The following is a 17,662-nucleotide window of genomic DNA, read 5'->3' as shown; positions in this document are numbered from 1 at the left end:
ACTACACAGAAGCATTCTGAGAAACTTCTTTGTGATGTGCACATTCAACTCGAAGAGTTGAACATATCTTTTGACAGAGCAGTTTTGAAACTCTTTTTTTGTAGAATCTGCAAGTGGATATTTGGAGTCCTTTACAGCCTATGGTGGAAAAGGAAATATCTTTACATAAAAACTTCACAGAAGCATTCTGAGAAACTTCTTCGTGATGTGTGCATGCAACTCACAGAGTTGAACCTATATTTTGATAGAGTAGTTTTGAAACTCTCTTTTTGTAGAATCTGCAAGTGAATATTTTCAGCCCTTTGCAGCCTATGGTGGAAAAGGAAATATCTTCACATAAAAATTAAACAGAGGCATTCTGAGAAACTACTTTGTGATGTGTGCATTCATCTCCCACAGTAGAACCTTTCTTTGGCTTGAGCAGTTTTGAAACACTCTTTTTGTAGTATCTGCATGTGGATATTTGAAGGGATTTGTGGCCTAATTTGGAAAAGGAAATATCTTCACAAAAAAACTAGAAAGAAGCATTCTTAGAAACTTCTTTTTGATGTATGCATTCTAATAACGGAGTTGAACCTTTCTTTTGACTAAGCAGTTATGAAACACTATTTTTGTAGAATCTGCAATTGGATAATTGCAACAGTTTATGACTTCTAGTGGAAAAGGAAATGTTTTCACATACAAACTAGACAGAAGTTTTCTGAGAAACTTCTTTGTGATGTGTGCATTCATCTAACAGATTTGAACCTTTATTTTAATTGAGCAGTTTTCAAACACTCTTTTTGTAGAATCTGCGAGTGCATATTTGGAGTGCTTTGAGGCCTATGGTGGAAAAGGAAATATCTTCACATAAAAACTAGACTGAAGCATTCTCAGAAACTTCTTTGTGATGTGTGCATTAAACTCACAGAATTCAACCTCTCTTATAATTCAGCCGTTTGGAAATTCTCTTTTTGTACTATCTGCATGTTGATATTTGGAGCACTTTGATGCCTACAGTTTTAAAAAAATCTTCACATAAAAACTTGACAGAAGCATTCTGAGAAGCTACTTCATGATGTGTGCATTCAACTCACAGAGTTGAACCTTTCTTTTGATTGAGCAGTTTGGAAACAGGCTTTCTGTACAATCTGCAAGTGGATATTTTGAGCGCTTTGAGGCCCATGGTAGAAAAGAAAATATCTTCACGAAAGAACTAGACAGAAGCATTCTGAGAAACTTCTTTGTGATGTGAGCAATCATCTCACAGGGTTGAACCTTTCTTTCGATTTAGCAGTTTTGAAACACACCTTTTGTAGAATCTGCAAGTGTATATTTGGAGCATTTTGAGGCCTATGGTGGAAAAGGAAATATCTTCACAAAAAAACTAGACAGAAGCATTCTGAGAAACTTCTTTGTGATGTGTGCGTTCAACTGACCGATTCGAAGCTCTCTTTTGCTTGAGCAGTTTGGAAACCGTCTTTTTGTAGGATCTGCAAGTGGATATTTGGAACCATTTGAGGCCTATGGTGTAAAACTAAATATCTACACATAAAAACTAGACAGAAGCATTCTGAGAAACTTCTTTGTGATGTGTGCATTCAGTTCACCGAGCTGAATATTTCTTTAGAGGCAGCAGTTTTGAAACACTCTTTTTGTTGTTTCTGCAAATGGATATTATGAGCAGTTTCAGGCCTATGGTGGAAAAGGAAATGTCTTCACATAAATACAAGAAAGAAGCATTCTGAGAAACTTCTTTGTGATGTGTGCATTGAACTCCCAGGCTTCAACCTTTCTTTTGATAGAGCAGTTTTGAAACACACTTTTTGTATAATCTGCTAGTGGATATTTGAAGCAATTAGGGGCCTATGGTGGAAAAGGGAATAACTTCATCTAAAAAATACATAGACGTATTCTGAGAAACTTCCTTGTCATGTGTGTATTCAACTAACAGAGCTGAATCTTACTTTTGATTCAGCAGTTTTGAAACACACTTTTTGTATTATCTGCTAGTGGATATTTGAAGCAATTAGGGGCCTATGGTGGAAAAGGGAATAACTTCGTCTAAAAAATACATAGAAGTATTCTGAGAAACTTCCTTGTCATGTGTGTATTCAACTAACAGAGTTGAACCTTACTTTTGATTCAGCAGTTTTGAAACACTCTTTTTGTAGAAGCTGCAATTGGATATTTGGAGTGCTTTGCAGCCTATGGTGGAAAAAGAAATATCTTCACATAAAATCTAGCAGAAACATTCTGAGAAACTTCTGTGTGATGTGTGCATTCATTTCACAGAGATGAAACTTTCTTTTGATTGAACAGTTTTGAAACACTCTTTTTGTAGAATCTGGAAGTGGATATTTGGAGCGCTTTGAGGCCTATTGTGGAAAAGGATATATCTTTATCTAAAAACTACACAGAAGCATTCTGAGAAAGTTATTTGTGTTGTGTGCATTTAACTCACAGAGTTGAACTTTTCTTTTGATTGCACAGTTTGAAAACCGTGTTTTTGTGGTATCTGCAAATGAATATTTGGAGAGGTTTGAGGACTATGGTGGAAAAGGAAATATCTTCACATAAAAACAAGACAGAAGCATTCTGAGAAACTTCTTTTTGATGTGTGCATTCATCTCACAGAGTTGAAACTTTCTTTTGATTGACCAGTTTTGAAACCCGCTTTTTGTAGAATCTGCAAGTGGGTATTTGGAGCACATGGATCACTATGGTGGAAAAGGATGTGACTTCACAGAAAAACACAACAGAAGCATGCTGAGAAACTCCTTTGTGAAGTGTGCATTCATCTCACAGAGTTGAAACATTCTTTTTACTGAGCAGTTTTGAATCACACTTTTTGCAGAATCTGCAAGTGGATATTTGCAGCCCTTTGAGGGCTATGGTGGAAAAGTAAATATGTTCACATAAAAACTACACAGAAGCATTCTGAGAAACTGCTTTGTGATGTGTGCATTCAACTCACAGAGTTGAACCTATGTTTTCATAGAAGAGTTTTGAAACTCTCTTTTTGTTGAATCTGCAAGTGATTATTTGGAGCCTTTTGTGACAGATGGTGAAAAAGGAAATATCTTACTATAAAAACTACACAGAAGTATTCTGAGAAACTTCCTTGTGATGTGTGCATTCTTCTCACAGAGTTGAACATTACATTTGATTGAGCAGTTTTGAAACACTCTTTTTATAGAATCTGCAAGTGGCCATTTGGAGCCCTTTGAGGCCAATGGTGGAAAAGGAAATATCTTCACATAAAAACTACACAAAAGCATTGTGGGAATCTGCTTTGTGATGTGTGCATTTATCTCACAGAGGTGAACCTCTCTTTTCATTGAGTAGTTTGGAAAAACTCTTTTTGTAGAATCGGCAAGTGGATATATGGAGCGCTTTGAGGCCTATTGCGGAAAGGGAAATTTCTTCACATAAAACCTACACAGAAGCGTTCTGAGAAACTTCTTTGTGATGCGTGCATTCATCTCATAGAGTTGTACCTTTCTTTGATTGAGCAGTTTTGAAACATTCTTTTTGTAGAATCTGCAAGTGGATATTTGTAGTGCTTTGAGGCCTAAGGAAGAAAAGGAAATATCTTCACATAAAAACTACACAGAAGCATTCTGAGAAACTTCTTTGTGATGTGTACAGTCATCTCACAGGGTTGAACCTATCTTTTGATAGAGCAGTTACGAAACCGTCTTTTTGTAGAATTGGTAAGTGGATATTTGGAACCCTTTGCAGCCTATGGTGGAAAAGGAAGTATCTTCACATAAAAACTACACAGAAGTATTCTGTGAAACTTCTTTGTGATGTGTGCATTCATCTCACAGAGTTGAACATTTCATATGATTGAGCAGTTTTGAAACACTCTTTTTCTAGAATCTGCAAGTGGATATTTGCAGCGCTTTCAGGCCTATTGTGAAAAATTTAATATCTTCCCATAAAAACTACACAGAAGCATTCTCAGAAACTTCTTTGTGATGTGCACATTCATCTCATGGAGTTGAACCTTTCTTTTGATTGAGCAGTTTGGAAACACTCTTTTAGTAGAATCTGCAAGTGGATATTTGGAGCCCTTGGAGGCCTATTGTGGAAAAGGAAATATCTTCACATAAAAACTACAGAGAAGGATTCTGAGAAACTTCTTTGTGATGTGTGCATTCATCTCACAGAGTTGAATCTTTCTTTTTATTGAGCAGTTTTGAAACACTCATTGTAGAATCTACAAGTGGATATGTGGAGCACTTAGAGGCCTATGGTGGAAAAGGAACTATCTTCACATAAAAACTACACAAAAACATTCTGAGAAACTTCTTTGTGATGTTTGCATTCAACTCGCAGAGTTGAACATATCTTTTGATAGAGCAGTTTTGCAACTCGCTTTTTGCAGTCTGTGCAAGTGGTTATTTGGAGCTTTTTTTGGCCAATTGTGGAAAAGGAAATCTCCTCCCCTAAAAACTACACTGAAGCATTCTGAGAAACTTCTTTGTGATTTGTGCATTCATCTCACAGAGTTGAAACTTTCGTTTGATTGAACAGTTTTGAAACTGCCTTTTTTAGAATCTGTAAGTGGATATTTGAAGTGCATTGAGGCTTATGGTGGAAAAGGAAATATCTTCACATAAAAACTACACGGAAGCATTCTCAGAAACTTACTTGTGATTTGTGCATTCATCTCACAGAGTTGAACCGTTCTTTTGATTGAGCAGTTTGGAAACAGTCTTTTAGTAGAATCTGCAAGTGGATATTCGGAAATCTTGGAGGCCTTTTCTGGTAAAAGAAATATCTTCTGATAAAAACTACACAGAAGAATTCTGAGAAACTTCTTCGTGATGTGTGGATTCGTCTCACAGAGTTGAATATTTCTTTTGATTGAGCAGTTTTGCAACACTCTTTTTTGTAGAATCTGCCAGTGGATATTTGAAGCACTTTGAGGCCTATGGTGGAAAAGGAAATATCTTCACACAAAAACTACACAGAAGCATTCTGAGAAACTTTTGTTATGTGTGCATTCAACTCGCAGAGTTGACCCTTTCTTTTGATAGAGCAGTTTGGAAACTCTCTTTTTGTACAGTCTGAAAGTGCTTATTTGGAGCCCCTTGCGGCCTGTGGTGGAAAAGGAAATATCTTCACACAAAAACTACACAGAAGAATTCTGAGAAACTTCTTAGTGATGTGTGCATTCATCTCAAAGAGTTGAAACTTTCTTTTGATTGAGCAGTTTTGAAACACTCTTTTGTAGAAACTGCAACTTAGATATTTGGAGCGCTTTCAGGCCTCTGGTGGTGAAGGAAATATCTTCACATAAAAACTACACAGAAGCATTCTGAGAAACTTCTTTGTAATGTGTGCATTCAACTCACTGCGTTGAATCACTACTTTGATAGAGAAATTTTGAAACTCTCTTTTTGTAGAATCTGCAAGTGGATATTTGGAGTGCTTTGAAGCCTATGGTGGAAAAGGAAATATCTTCACATAAAAACTACACAGAAACGTTCTCAGAATCTTTTTTGTGATGTGTGCATTCATCTCACAGAGCTGAATTTTTCTTTTGATTAAGCAGTTTGGAAATACTCTTTTTGTAGAATCTTCAAGTGGATATTTGGAGCGCTTTAATGCCTATGGTAGAAAAGGAAATATATTCACAAAAAAACTACACAGAAGTATTCAGAGAAACTTCTTTGCAATGTGTGCATTCCTCCCACAGAGTAGAACCTTTGTTTTCATTGAGCAGTTTGGAAACACTCTTTTTCTAGAATCTGCAAGTGGATATTTTCAGCGATTTGAGGCCTATGCTGGAAAAGGCAATATCTTCACATAAAAACTACACAGAAGCATTCTGAGAATCTTCTATATGATGTGTGCATTCATCTCACAGAGTTGAGCCTTTCTTTTGATGGATCAGCTTTGAAACACTGTTTTTGAAGAATCTGCAAGTGGATAATTGGAGCCCTTTGAGGCCTATGGTGGAGAAGGAAATATCTTCACATAAAAAGTACACAGAAGCATTCTAAGAAACTTCTTTGTGATGTGTGAATTCATCTCACAGAGTTGAACCTCTCTTTTGATTGTGCACTTTTGAAACCCTCTTTTTGTGGAATCTGCAAGTGGATATTGGGAACAATCTGACACCTATTGTGGAAAAGGAAACGTCTTGAGATAAAAACTACACAGAAGAATTCCGAGATACTTCATTGTGATGTGTGCATTCAACTCACAAATTTGAACCTATCTTTTGATTGAGCAGTTTTGAAACTCTCTTTTTGTAGCATCTTCAAGTGGATACATGGAGCCCTTTGTGGCTTATGATGGAAAAGGAAATATCTTCACATAAAAACTACACAGAAGCATTCTGAGAAACTTCTTTGTGATATGTGAATTCATCTCACAGAGTTGAGTCTTTCATTTTATTGAGCAGTTTGGAAACACACTTTCTGTAGAATCTGCAAGGGGATATTTGCAGCACTTTGAGGCCTATTGTGGAAAAGGAAATATCTTCACATAAAAACTACACAGAAGCATTCTGAGAACCTTGTTTGTGATGTGTGCACTCAACTCACAGAGTTGAGCCTGTCGTTTGATTGGACAGTTTTGAATTTCTGTTTCTGCTGAATATGTAACAGGATATTTGGATCCCTTTGCGGCCTATTTTTGAAAAGGAAATATCTTCACATAAAAACTACACAGAAGCATTCGGAGAAACTTCCTTGTGATGTGTGCATTCATCTCATAGAGGTGAAACTTTCATTTGATTGAGCAGTTTGGAAACACCCTTTTTGTAGAATTTGCAAGTGGATATTTGGATAACATCGAGGTCTATTGTGGAAAAGGAAATATCTTCACATAAAAAATACACAGAAGCATTCTGAGAAACTCCTTTGTGATGTGTGCATTCATCTCACAGAGTTTAAACTTTCCTTTGATTGAGCAGTTTTGAAACACTCTTTTGATAGGATCTGCAAGTGGATATATGAAGCCCTTTGATGCCTAGAGTGGAAAAGGAAATATCTTCACACAAAAACTACACAGAAGCATTCTGAGAAACTTCTTTGTGATGTGTGCATTCATCTCAGAGAGTTGAACCTGTCTTTTGATTGAGCAGGTTTGAAACAGACTTTTTGTAGAACCTGCAGGTGGATATTTGGGGCGCTTTGAGACCTATTTTGGAAAAGGAAATATCTTCACATAAAAAGTACACAGAAGCATTCTGAGAAACTTCTTTTTGATGTGTGCATTCATCTCACAGAGTTGAACCTCTGTTTTGATTGTGCACTTTTGAAACCCTCTTTTTGTGGAATCTGCAAGTGGATATTCGGAGCAATTTTGAAACCTATGGTGGAAAAGGATATATCTTCACGAAAAACCTGCACAGAAAAATTCCAAGATACTCCATTGTGAAGTGTGCATTCAACTCACAAATTTGAACTTACCTTTTGATCGAGCAGTTTCAAAACTCTCTTTTTGTAGCATATTCAATTGGATGCATGGAGCCATTTGTGGCCTGAGATGAAAAAGGAAATATCTTCACATAAAAACTACACAGAAGCATTCTGACAAATTTCTTTGTGATGTGTGAACTCATCTCACAGAGTTGAGCCTTTCATTTTATTCAGCAGTTTGGAAACACTCTTTTTGTAGGATTGGCAAGTGGATATTGGGAGCGCTTTGAGGCCTATGGTGGAAAAGGAAATATCTTCACATAGAAACTACCCAGAAGCATTCTGAGAAACTACTTTGTGATGTGTGCATTCAACTCACAGAGTTGAACCTATCTTTTGATAGAGCAGTTTTGAAACTCTCTTTTTGTAGAATCTTCAAGTGGATATTTGGAGCCCTTTGAAGTCTATGGTGGAAAAAGGAATATCTTCATAGAAAAACTACACAGAAGCATTCTGAGAAACTTCTTAGTGATGTGTGCATTCATCTCACAGAGTACAAGCTCTCTTTTGATTGAGCAGTTTTGAAACACTCTTTTTGTAGAATCTGCAAGTGGATATTTGGAGTGCTTTGAGGCCTATGCTGGAAAAGGAAATATCTTCACTTAAAAACTACACAGAAGCATTCTGAGAATCTTCTTTGTGATGTGTGCATTCATCTCACAGAGTTGAACATTTCTTTTCATTCAGCAGTTTGGAAACACTCTTTTTGAAGAATCTGCAAGTGGATATTTTGAGCGCTTTGAGGCCTATGGTGGAGAAGGTAATATGTTCACATAAAAAGCACACAGAAGCTCTTTAGTTTAATTAGATCTCATTTGTCAATTTTGGCTTTTGTTGCCATTGCTTTTGGTGTTTTAGACATGAAGTCCTTGTCCATGCCTATGTCCTGAATGGTAATGCCTAGATTTTCTTCTAGGGTTTTTATGGTTTTAGCTCTAACGTTTAAGTCTTTAATCCATCTTGAATTGATTTTTGTATAAGGTGTAAGGAAGGGATCCAGTTTCAGCTTTCTACATATGGCTAGCCAGTTTTCCCAGCACCATTTATTAAATAGGGAATCCTTTCTCCATTGCTTGTTTTTCTCAGGTTTGTCAAAGATCAGTGGTGATTCCTCAGGGATCTAGAACTAGAAATACTATTTGACCCAGCCATCCTATTACTGGGTATATACCCAAAGGTTTATAAATCATGCTGCTATAAAGATAAATGCACACGTATGTTTATTGCAGCATTATTCACAATAGCAAAGACTTGGAACCAACCCAAATGTCCAACAATGATAGACTGGATTAAGAAAATGTGGCACATATACACTATGGAATACTATGCAGCCATAAAAAATGATGAGTTCATGTCCTTTGTAGGGACATGGATGAAATTGGAAATCATCATTCTCAGTAAACTATCTCAAGAACAAAAAAACAAACACCGCATATTCTCACTCATAGGTGGGAATTGAACAATGAGATCACATGGACACAGGAAGGGGAATATCACACTCTGGGGACTCTGGTGGGGTGGGGGAAGGGGGGAGGGATAGCATCGGGAGATATACCTAATGCTAGATGACGAGTTAGTGGGTGCAGCGCACCAGCATGGCACATGTATACATATGTAACTAACCTGCACAGTGTGCACATGTACCCTAAAACTTAAAGTATAATAAAAAAACAGAAAGCTCAAAAAAAAAGATTTTTAATAAAAGTAAATTCTATTAGAACACTAAATAAAAATTTTTTCATTAAAACAAAAAAGTACACAGAAGCATTCTGAGAAACTTGTTTGTGATCTGTGCATTCATCTCACAGAGTTCAACCTCTCTTTTGATTGTTCACTTTTGAAACACTCTTTTTGTGGAATCTGCAAGTGGATATTCGAAGCAATTTGACGACTATGGTGGAAAAAGAAATATCTTCACATAAAAACTACACAGAAGAATACCAAGATACTTCTTTGCAATGTCTGCATTCAACTCACAGATTTGAACCTATCTTTTGATGGAGCAGTTTCAAAACTCTCTTTTTGTAGCATCTTCAAGTGGTTACATGCAGCCCTTCATGGGCTGGGATGGAAAAGAAAATACCTTCAAATAAAAACTACACAGAAGCATTCTGAGAAACATCTTTGTGATGTGTGAATTCATCCCACAGAGTTGAGCTTTTCATTTTATTCAGCAGTTTTGAAACACTCTTTTTGTAGAATCTGCAAGGGGATATTTGGAGTGCTTTGAGGCGTTTTGCGGAAAAGGAAATATCTTCACATAAAAACTACAAAGAAGCATTCTGAGAAACTTCTTTGTGAGGTGTGCATTCATCTCACAGAGTTGAACCTCTCTTTTGATGGAGCAGTTTGGAAACACTCTTTTTGTAGAATCTGCAAGTGGATATTTGGAGCGCTTTGAGGCCTATGGTGAAAAAGGAAATATCTTCACATAAAAACTACACAGAAGCATTCTGAGAAAGTTCTGCATGACGTGTGCATTCAACTCACAGGGTTGAACCTGTCATTTGATTGAACAGTTTTGAATCTCTCTTTTTGTAGAATCTGCAAGTGGATATTTGCAGCCCTTAGCGGCCTATTATTGAAAAGGAAATATCTTCACATAAAAACTACACAGGGCCGGGCGCGGTGGCTCACGCCTGTAATCCCAGCACTTTGGGAGGCCGAGGCGGGTGGATCATGAGGTCAGGAGATCGAGACCATCCTGGCTAACAAGGTGAAACCCCGTCTCTACTAAAAATACAAAAAATTAGCCGGGCGCGGTGGCGGGCGCCTGTAGTCCCAGCTACTCGGGAGGCTGAGGCAGGAGAATGGCGTGAACCCGGGAAGCGGAGCTTGCAGTGAGCCGAGATTGCGCCACTGCAGTCCGCAGTCTGACCTGGGCGACAGAGCGAGACTCCGTCTCAAAAAAAAAAAAAAAAAAAAAAAAAAAAAAAAAAAAAAAAACTACACAGAAGCATTCTGAGAATTTTCCTTGTGATGTGTGCACGCATCTCATAGAGTTGAAAATTTACTTTGATTGAGCAGTTTTGAAACACCCTTTTTGTAGAATTTGCAAGTGGATATTTGGATCGCATCAAGGACTATTGTGGAAAAGGAAATATCTTCACATAAAAAAAACACAGAAGCATTCTGAGAAACTTCTTTGTGATGTGTGCATTCATCTTACAGAGTTTAAACTTTCTTTTCATTGAGCAGTTTTGAAATACTCTTTTTATAAAATCTGCAAGTGGATATTTGAAGCGCTTTGATGCCTATAGTGGAAAAGGAAATACTTTCACATAAAAACTACACGGAAGGATTCTGAGAAACGTCTTTGTGATGTGTGCTTTCATCTCAGAGAGTAGAACCTGTCTTTTGTTTGAGTCGTTTTGAAATAGACTTTTTGTAGAACTTGCAGGTGGATATTTGTAGCACTTTGAGACCTATTTTGGAAAAGGAAATATCTTCACATAGAAACTACACAGAAGAATTCTGAGAAACGTCTTTGGATGTGTGCATTCCTGTCACGGAGTTGAACCTTTCTTTGGATTGACCAGTTTGGAAACACTCTTTTTGTAGAATCTGCAAGTGGATATTTGGAGCGCTTTGAGGCCCGTAGTGGAAAAGGAAATATCTTCACAAGAAAACTACACAGAACTATTCTGAGAAACTTCTGTGTGATGTGTACATTCAACTCACAGAGTTGAACCTGTCATTTGATTGAACAGTTTTGAATCTCTCTTTGTGTAGAATCTGCAAGTGGATATTTGGAGCCCTTTGTGGCCTATTTTTGAAAAGGAAACATCTTCACCTAATAACTACACAGAAGCATTCTGAGAAACTCCTTTTTGATGTGTGCATTCATCTCATAGAGTTGAAACTTTCATTGGATTGAGCAGTTTGGAAACACCCTTTTTGTAGAATTTGCAAGTGGATATTTGGATTGCATCAAGGTCTACTGTGGAAAAGGAAATATCTTTGAATAGAAAATTCACAAAAGCATTCTGAGAAACTTGTTTTTGATGTGTGCATTCATCTCACAGAGTTCAACCTCTCTTTTGATTGAACAGTTTTGAAATACTCTTTTTGTAGAATCTGCAAGTGGACATTTGGAGTGCTTTTAGGCCTATTGTAGAAAAGGAAATAGCTTCACATAAAAACTACACAGAAGCATTCTGAGAAACTTATTTGTGATGTGTGCATTCAACTCACAGAGTTGAACCTATCTTTTGACAGAGCAGTTTTGAAACTGTCTTTTTGTAGCATTTGCAAGTGGATATTTGGAGCCGTTCTTGGCCTAAGGTGGAAAAGGTATTAACTTCACATAAAAACTATACAGAAGCGTGGTACTGCTACCAAAACAGAGATATAGATCAATGGAACAGAACAGAGCCCTTAGAAATAACGCTGCATGTCTACAACTGTCTGATCTTTGACAAACCTGAGAAAAACAAGCGATGGGGAAAGGATTCCCTATTTAATAAATGATGCTGGGAAAAATGGTTAGCCATAGGTAGAAAGCAGAAACTGGATCCCTTTCTTACAGATTATACAAAAATTAACTCAAGACAGATTAAAGACTTAAACATTAGACCTAAAACGATAAAAACCCTGGAAGAAAACCTAGGCATTACCATTCAGGACATAACCATAGGAAAAGACTTCATGTCTAAAACACCAAAAGCAATGGAAACAAAAGCCAAAATTGACATATGGGATCTAATTAAACTAGAGCTTCTGCACAGCAAAAGAAACTACCATCAGGGTGAACAGGCAACCTACAAAATGGGAGAAAATTTTCGCAATCTACTCATCTGACAGAGGGCTAATATCCAGAATCTACAATAAACTCAAACAAATTTACAGGAAAAAAACAAACAACCCCATCAAAAAGTGGGTGAAGGACATGAACAGACACTTCTCAGAAGAAGACATTTATGCAGCCAAAAAACACATGAAAAAATGCTCACCATCACTGGCTATCAGAGAAATGTAAATCAAAACCACAATGCGATACCATCTCACACCACTTAGAATGGCAATCATTAAAAAATCAGGAAACAACAGATGCTGGAGAAGATGTGGAGAAATAGGAACACTTTTACACTGTTGGTGGGACTGTAAACTAGTTCAACCATTGTGGAAGTCAGTGTGGTGATTCCTCAGGGATCTAGAACTAGAAATACCATTTGACCCAGCCATCCCATTACTGGGTATATACCAAAAGGACTATAAATCATGCTGCTATAAAGACACATGCACATGTATGTTTATTGTGGCACTATTCAGAATAGCAAAGACTTGGAACCATCCTAAATGTCCAACAATAATAGACTAGATTAAGAAAATATGGCACATATACAACATGGAATACTACCCAGCCATAAAAAAAGATGAGTTCATGTCCTATGTACGGACATGGATGAAATTGGAAATCATCATTCTCAGTAAACTATCGCAAGAACAAAAAACCAAACACTGAATATTCTCACTCATAGGTGGGAATTGAACAATGAGAACACATGGACACAGGAAGTGGAACATCACACTCTAGGGATTGTTATGGGGTGGGGTGAGGGGGTAGGGAGAGCTTTAGGAGATATACCTAATGCTAAATGACGAGTTAATGGTTGCAGCACACCAGCATGGCACATGTATACATATGTAACTAACCTGCACATTGTGCACATGTACCCTAAAACTTAAGGTATAATAATAATAATAATAAAAACTACACAGAAGCATTCTGAGAAACTTCTTTGTGATGTGTGCATTCATCTCACAGATTTGAACCTATCTTATCATTGAGCAGTTTGGAAACACTCTTTCTGTAGAATCTGCAGGTGGATATTTGGAGTGTTTTGAGCCTTATAGTGGAAAAAGAAATATCTTCACATAAAAACTACACAGAAGCATTCTGAGAAACTTCTTTGTGATGTGCGCATTCAACTCCAATAGTTGAACCTATCCTTTGATTTAGCAGTTTTGAATCTCTCTTTTTTTAGTATCTCCAAGTGGTTATTTGAAGCCCTTTGCAGCCTATTTTGGAAAAGGAAGTATCTTCATATAAAAACTACACAGAAGCACTCTTAGAAACTTCTTTGTTATATGTGCATTGAAATCACAGAACTGAACCTATCTTTCGATAGAGCAGCTTTGAAACTCTCTTTGTGTAGAATCTGCAAGTGTATATTTGGAGCCCTTTGTGGCCTATGGTGGAAAAGGGAATATCTTCACATAAAAACTACACAGAAGCATTCTGAGAAACTTCTTTGTGATGTGTGCATTCTTCTCACAGAGTTGAATCTTTCTTTTGATTGAGCAGTTTTGAAACACTCTTTTTGTAGAATCTGCAAGTGGATATTTGGAGCACTTTGAGGCCTACTGTGGAAAAGGAAATATCTTCACATAAAAAATATACAGAAGCATTCTGAGAAACTTCTTTGTGATGCGTGCATTCAACTCACAGTCTTGAACCTTTCTTTTGATAGAGCATTTTTGAAACTCTCTTTTTGTAGTATATGCAAGTGGATATTTGGAGCCCTTTGTGGCTTATGGTAGAAAAGGAAATATCTTCACATAAAAATTACACAGAAGCATTTTGAGAAACTACTTTCTGATGTATAAATTCATCTCACAGAGTTGAAAGTTTCTTTTGATTGAGCAGTTATGAAACGCTGTTTTTTATAGAATCTGGAAGTGGATATTTGAAGCCCTGTGAGGCCTATTGTGGAAAGGGAAATATGTTCACATAAAACTACACAGAAGCATTCTGAGAAACTTCTTTTTGATGTGTGCATTCATCTCACAGTGTTGAACCTTCGTTTTTTTTTTTTTTTTTTTTTTTTTTTTTTTTTTGACCGGAGTCTCGCTCTGTGGCCCAGGCTGGAGTGCAGTGGTGAGATCTCGGCTCACTGCAAGCTCCGCCTCCCGGGTTCCCACCATTCTCCTTCCTCAGCTTCCCGAGTAGCTGGGACTACAGGCGCCTGCCACCAAGCCCGGCTAACTTTTTGTATTTTTAGTAGTGACGGGGTTTCACCGTGTTACCCAGGATGGTCTCGATCTGCTGACCTCGTGATCCACCCACCTCGGCCTCCCAAAGTGCTGGGATTACAGGCAGGAGCCACCGCACCCAGCCTGAACCTTCGTTTTGATTGAGCAGTTTTGAAACACTCTTTTTGTAGAATCTGCAAGTGGATATTTGGAGCACTTTGAGACCTACTGTGGAAAAGAAATATCTTCACATAAATAATATACAGAAGAAGCATTCTGAGAAACTTCTTTGTGATGTGTGCATTCATCTTACAGAATTGAACCTATGTTTGGATTGAGCACTTTTTAATCTATCTTTTTGTAGAATCTGCAAGTGGATACTTGGGGCACTTTGAGGCCTATTGTTGAAAAGGAAATATCTTCAGAAAAAAACTACACAGAAGCATTTTGAGAAAGTTCTTTGTGATGTGTCCATTCCACCCACATACCTGAACCTATCTTTTGATAGACCAGTTTTGAAACTCTCTTTTTGTAGAATCTGCAAGTGCATATTTTCAGCCCTTTGTGGCGTATGGTGGAAAAGGAAATATCTTCACATAAAAAGCCCACAGAAGGATTCTCAGAAACTTCTTTGTGTTGTGTGCATTCACCTAACAGAGTTGAACCTTTCTTTTGATTGAGCAGTCTTGAAACACTCTTTTTGTAGAATCTGCAAATGGATATTTGGGGAGCTTAGAGGACCACTGTGGAATAGGAAATATCTTCAAATAAAAAGTACATAGAAGCATTCTGAGAAACTTCTCTGTGATATGTGCATTCATCTCACGGAATTGAACCTTTCTTTTGATTGAGCACTTTGGAAATACTCTTTTGGAAGAATCTGTAAGTAGATATTTGAGGCGCTTTGAGGTCTGTTGTGGAAAAGGAAATATCTTCACATAAAAAGTACACAGAAGCATTCTGAGAAACTTCTTTGGGATGTGGGCATTCATCTAACAGAGTTGAACCTTCATTTTGATTGAGCAGTTTTGAATCTCTCTTTTTGTAGAATCTGCATTTGGATATTTAGAGCGTTTTGAGGCCTATCGTGGAAAAGGAAATATCTTCACATAAAAACTACACAGAAGCATTCTGAGAAACATCTTTGTGATGTGTGCACTCATCTCACAGAGTTGAAACTTTCTTTTGATTGAGCACTTTTGAAACATTCTTTTTGTAGGATCTGCAAGTGGATGTTTGAAGCACTTTGAGGCCTATGGTGGAAAAGGAAATATCTTCACATAAAAAGTAGACAGAAGCATTCTGAGAAACTTCTTCTTGATGTGTGCATTCATCTCACAGAGTTGAACCTTCGTATTGATTGAGCAGTTCTGAAACTCTCTTTTTGTAGAATCTGCAATTGGATATTTGGAGCACTTTGAGGCCTATAGTGGAAAAGGAAATATCTTCAGATAAAAACTACATAGGAGCATTCTGAGAAACTACTTTGTGATGTGTGCATTCATCTCACAGTGTTGAACTTTTCTTTTGATTGAGCAGTTTGGAAACACTCTTTTTGTAGAATCTGCAAGTGGATATTTGGAGCACTTTGAAGCCTATGGTGGAAACGGAAATATCTTCCCATAAAAAACAGACAGAAGCATTCTGAGAAACTTCTTTGTGATGCGAGCATTCAACTCACAGAGTTGAACCTATCTTTTGATTGAGCAGTTTTGAATCTCTCTTTTTGTAGAATCTACAAGTGGATATTAGGAGCTCTTTGCAGCCTGTTTTGGAAAAGGAAATATCTTCACATAAAAACTACACAGAAGCATTCTGAGAAGCTTCTTTGTGATGTGTGCATTCATCTCACGGAGTTGAAACTTTCTTTTGATTGAGCAGTTCTGAAACACTCTTTTTGTAGAATCTGCAAGTGGATATTTGAAGCGCTTTGAGGCCTATTGTGGAAAAGGAAATATCTTCACATAAAAACTATACAGAGGCATTCTGAGAAACTTCTTTGTGATGTGTGCATTCATCTCACAGAGTTGAACCTTTCTATTGATTCAGCAGTTTTGAAACACTCTTTTTGTACAATCTGCAAGTGGATATTTGGAGTGCTTTGAGGCCTATGCTGGAAAAGGAAATATCTTCACATAAAAACTACACAGAAGCATTCTGAGAAACTTCTTTGTGATGTGCGCATTCATCTCACAGTGTTGAACATTTGATTTCATTGAACAGTTCTGAAACACCCTTTTTTTAGAATCTACAATTGGATATTTGGAGCACTTCGAGGACTATATTGGAAATGGAAATATCTTCACATAAACACTAGACAGAAGCATTCTGAAAAACTTCTTTGTCATGTCTGCATTCAACTCACAGAGTTGAACATATCTGTTGATTCAGCAGTTTTGAATCTCTCTTTTTGTAGAATCTGTAGGTGGAAATTGGGAGCCCTTTGATGCCTACGGTGGAAAAGGAATTATCTTCACATAAAAATTATGCAGAAGTATTCTGAAAAACTTCTTTGTGATGTGTGCATTCATCTCTCACAGTTGAGCCTTTCTTTTGACTGGGCAGAAAAACTTTTTTTGTAGAATCTGGAAGTGGATACTTGGATTGCTTTCAGGCCTGTTGTGGAAAAGGAAATACCGTCATATAAAAACTACATAGAAGCATTCTGAGAAACTTCTTTGTGGTGTGTGCAATCATCTCACAGTGTTGAAACTTTCTTTTGACTGAGCAGTTTGTAAACACTGTTTTTGTAGAATCTGCAAGTGGATATTTGGAGCACTTTGAGGCCTATGGTGGAAAAGGAAATATATTCATATAAAAACTAGACAGAAGCATTCTGAGAACCTTGTTTGTGATGGGTGAATTCAACTCATAACGTTTAACCTTTCTTTTGATTGAGCAGTTTTTAAACACCCTTTTTGTAGAATCTGCAAGTGGATATTTTACATCATTTGTGACCTTTATTGGAAAAGGAAATATCTTCACATAAACACTAGACAGAAGCATTCTGAAAAACTTCTTGGTGATGTGTGCATTCATCTCACAGAGTTGAAACTTTCTTTTAATTAAGCAGTTTTGAAACACACTTTTTGTAGGATTTGCAAGTGGATATTTGGAGTGCTTTGAGGTCTATGGTGTAAAATTAAATGTCGTCACATAAAAAGTGGACAGAAGCATTCTGAGAAACTTCTTTGTGATGTGTGCATTCATCTCAGTGTTGAAACTTTCTTTTGATTGAGCAGTTTTGAAACACTCTTTTTGTGGGA

General features: G+C 37.2%; 3 annotated features.

Moving 5' to 3' along the window:
• Positions 13,205-14,055: an enhancer, noted in NCBI's record as "OCT4-NANOG hESC enhancer chr16:33997877-33998727 (GRCh37/hg19 assembly coordinates)". NCBI's record gives its function as "activates a minimal SCP1, AML or CMV promoter by ChIP-STARR-seq in primed H9 embryonic stem cells {active_cell/tissue: H9 hESC(primed)}" and the evidence as "EXISTENCE:reporter gene assay evidence [ECO:0000049][PMID:30033119]".
• Positions 14,709-15,693: an enhancer, noted in NCBI's record as "OCT4-NANOG hESC enhancer chr16:33996239-33997223 (GRCh37/hg19 assembly coordinates)". NCBI's record gives its function as "activates a minimal SCP1, AML or CMV promoter by ChIP-STARR-seq in primed H9 embryonic stem cells {active_cell/tissue: H9 hESC(primed)}" and the evidence as "EXISTENCE:reporter gene assay evidence [ECO:0000049][PMID:30033119]".
• Positions 15,694-16,678: an enhancer, noted in NCBI's record as "OCT4-NANOG hESC enhancer chr16:33995254-33996238 (GRCh37/hg19 assembly coordinates)". NCBI's record gives its function as "activates a minimal SCP1, AML or CMV promoter by ChIP-STARR-seq in primed H9 embryonic stem cells {active_cell/tissue: H9 hESC(primed)}" and the evidence as "EXISTENCE:reporter gene assay evidence [ECO:0000049][PMID:30033119]".

Source organism: Homo sapiens, chromosome 16, assembly GCF_000001405.40.
Source record: "Homo sapiens chromosome 16, GRCh38.p14 Primary Assembly".
NCBI classification, from domain to species: Eukaryota; Metazoa; Chordata; class Mammalia; order Primates; family Hominidae; genus Homo; species Homo sapiens.
This window is presented reverse-complemented; position numbering and strand designations above follow the sequence as displayed.